We start from the raw sequence: 3,170 nt of genomic DNA on the forward strand, positions 1-3,170 counted from the left end.
GTCCTGCCCCTCTACCCTTTCCCCATTGGCCGGGGTCAGGTCGTACAATCTAAACTAATCGCGCTTGGCTAAACATTTGATTTTTTTAGATAGGGTGGGCCCGTAAAAGAAAGCGGAGAGGAAGGGGAAGGGGTGTCTGTAATGAGCTAGAAAGTTAGTCCTCTTTCCAAATAAGGAAAGGAATGTGAGCTGGTACTGATAACGCCTGGTGCTGTGGCGTGCCTGGGCATCTCACAAAGGCAAAAAGGGAAAAGGAGAAAAAGGGGGCGGGGCGCTATGAATTAAAGAATAAAAGATTGATCAGATTATTTGAAGAGAAACGTCGTCATATCCCACATACTGAGGCCCTAAAAATCCTCTCTGGAAAGTGTGCGGGGGCCACAGATCTGTGGTTGTGTCTCAGGCACATCCTCAGCCTTGGCAAAATAAACCTCTAAATGGGCGAGACTTGTCTCAGACACTTACCCGGTTTACAATACCTTTTCATATTGTTTTCATTTTTGAACCATGTGGCTCTATTGCTTTATATAAAGAGGATGAGGCAAGGGCACTTCTTTATTATCATTGAAGTCAGAGTAAATTTACTATTGATTTCCCCTGAGGTTGGGGTAAGAACTCTTAGAACAAACAGGGAAACTTCTCAACTCTTACCCTGAATTTCAACGGACACGTTGGAGGTCTCCTGAAAACTCTGGCTGCTAAGTCACAGCGGCACTGAGTGGCAGGTGAGAGAGCCAGAAAGCCACATGAAGGAGCACTCACCGTCCCTAGGTTTGTTAATTCCGGTAACATGTCAGACGGACACGGACTTCAGACAGTCCTGCAGGCTAACTAGGAGAGCTCTGGCAACACGGCCGTTCTAAGTCTTCCCGGAGATTTAACTCAAGGCACACTTGTATTTACATGTAGGCTCCACAACCCCTTGATTCAAAAAAACAACTCTGGAGAAGCTGAAGAACTTTCCAACTTCATCTGTTTGAAACAACAGCTTGCAGCCTGAACAACGCAGTGAGACGGTCGCTACAAAAGATCAAAACGTTGGCTGGGTGTGGTGGCACGTGGCTGTGGGCCCAGCCATTCGGGAGGCTGAGGTGGGAGGATCTCTTGAGCCCCAGAGGTCAAGGCTGCAGAAAGCCACGATGGTGCCCCACTGCACTCCACCCTGCGTGATAGAGCAATGTCTCAAAAACCAAAAATGAAACACCAGCTTGGGCAAAGCTATCTTCCTCATGCCATTTTCTAATTGATCATATCCCCCAGATGTGGGAAACTAATCACTTTTGTTTAAAATTAGTTTTTGCGGATCTAATGGGCGTCTAAATAATTTTTTTTTTTTTGAGACGGAGTTTCGCTCTTGGTGCCCAGCTGGAGTGCGACAGCGTGATCTCGCTTCACCGCGACCTCCGCCTCCCAGGTTCAAGGGATTCTCCTGCCTTGGCCTCCTGAGTAGCTGGGATTACAGGCAGGTACCACCACACCCATCTAATTTTGTATTTTTAGTAGAGATGGGGTTTCTCCGTGTTGGTCAGGCTGGTCTCGAGCTCCCGACCTCAGGTGATCCGCCTGCCTCAGCCTCCCAACGTGCTGGCATTATAGGCTTGAGCCGCCGCGCCCGGCCTAAATAATAATTTTTAAAAATTACTCTTTTTTGGTTTAGAATTACTTAGCTGAACTGTGCAGAAGCAAGCTTCTGGATGCCTTGATAAAAAGCCAAAGTTGTACACTAGAGGGCTTTAGGATGAATAAAATGTTAAAAAACGCCAACAGGACGAGGTGGCTGATCACCTGAGGTCAGAAGTTCAAGACCAGCCTGACCAACATGGAGAAAACCCGTCTCTACTAAAAATACAAAATTAGCCATGTGTGGTGGCACATGCCTGTAATCCCAGCTACTTGGGAGGCTGAGGCAGGAGAATCGCTCAAACTCGGGAGGCAGAGGTTGCGGTGAGCCGAGGTTGCGCCATTGCACTCCAGCCTGGGCAACAAGAGTGAAACTCCGTCTTAAAAAAAAACAAAAACAAAAGCAAAAACAAAACGCAACAAAGCGAGACATGACAGGCAATGAAATAAATAAAAGGAGGCAGATCTCCTAAAGCCAAAATGTCCTATGCAGACAAACAGCATTACTGTTCACCCTGCATGGTGCCCACTATCATGCACAGTTGTATATTTAGGAGAAAAACGTTTTGGTACGCCAAAATACAAGATAAGCAGATAAAAGGGAAACCTGTGTGTGTTATTTAGTTATTCGGTACTTATATAAACCACTTATTTTACTACAACAAACTTCGAGGGCCACATTATAGCAGCCCAATACACTGGGAAAAGGAGTTTCTTTTCACAAGGACAATATTACTAGAGATGAACATTAAAAATTACTTAATAATCTAATAGAAAATTGGAAAATTAACATACATTCTAAAGAGAAGCAGAAGTTTACCTGGTTATTCAAAGTTCATATAATAATTTCCACATGTATAAAAAAAAAGAGAAGGGCACGGTGGCTCACACCTGTAATCCCAGGCTGAGGCAGGTGGATCACCTGAGGTCGGGAGTTCGAGACCAACCTAACCAACACGGAGAAAGCCCATCTCTACTAAAAATACAAAATTAGCCAGACGTGGTGGCGCATGCCTGTAATCCCAGCTACTTGGGAGGCTGAGGCAGGAGAATCGCTTGAAACCGGGAGGCGGAGGTTGCAGTGAGCCAAGATCACGCCATTGCACTCCAGCCTGGGCAACAAGAGCGAAACTCTGTCTCAAAAAAAAAAAATAAAAAATAAAAAGAACCAATTACCTAGAGGAGGGCCATATATATAACTTGGTTTGCTTTGAAACTCAAGACTGCTTCCCTAGGATATGGAATTCAAGCTGAATGAAAAGTTGTAGAGCTGGATGAGAATTTATTTCTCTCCGTGAAGGTATAATAGCATCACCCCTATAAGAAGATAAGCTCAAATACAACCAAAATTTCGATGCCCTACGCCCTGCCAGTAAGGGAGGAAAGCAGAGGTTACGATTTACAAGTAATTCTCTATGTGTTCTTTGGGAACCAGGATCCTCTGAGTCAATCCCTTCCAATCTCCTAAGTTTATTTTTAAAAATCTGAACCTGGCCACCACTTTACATGATGAGACTTAGAGACTGGTATCACAGCTTGATTTCAGAAGC

The sequence above is a fragment of the Homo sapiens genome, chromosome 17 (genome assembly GCF_000001405.40).
Source record: "Homo sapiens chromosome 17, GRCh38.p14 Primary Assembly".
Classification (NCBI taxonomy): domain Eukaryota; kingdom Metazoa; phylum Chordata; class Mammalia; order Primates; family Hominidae; genus Homo; species Homo sapiens.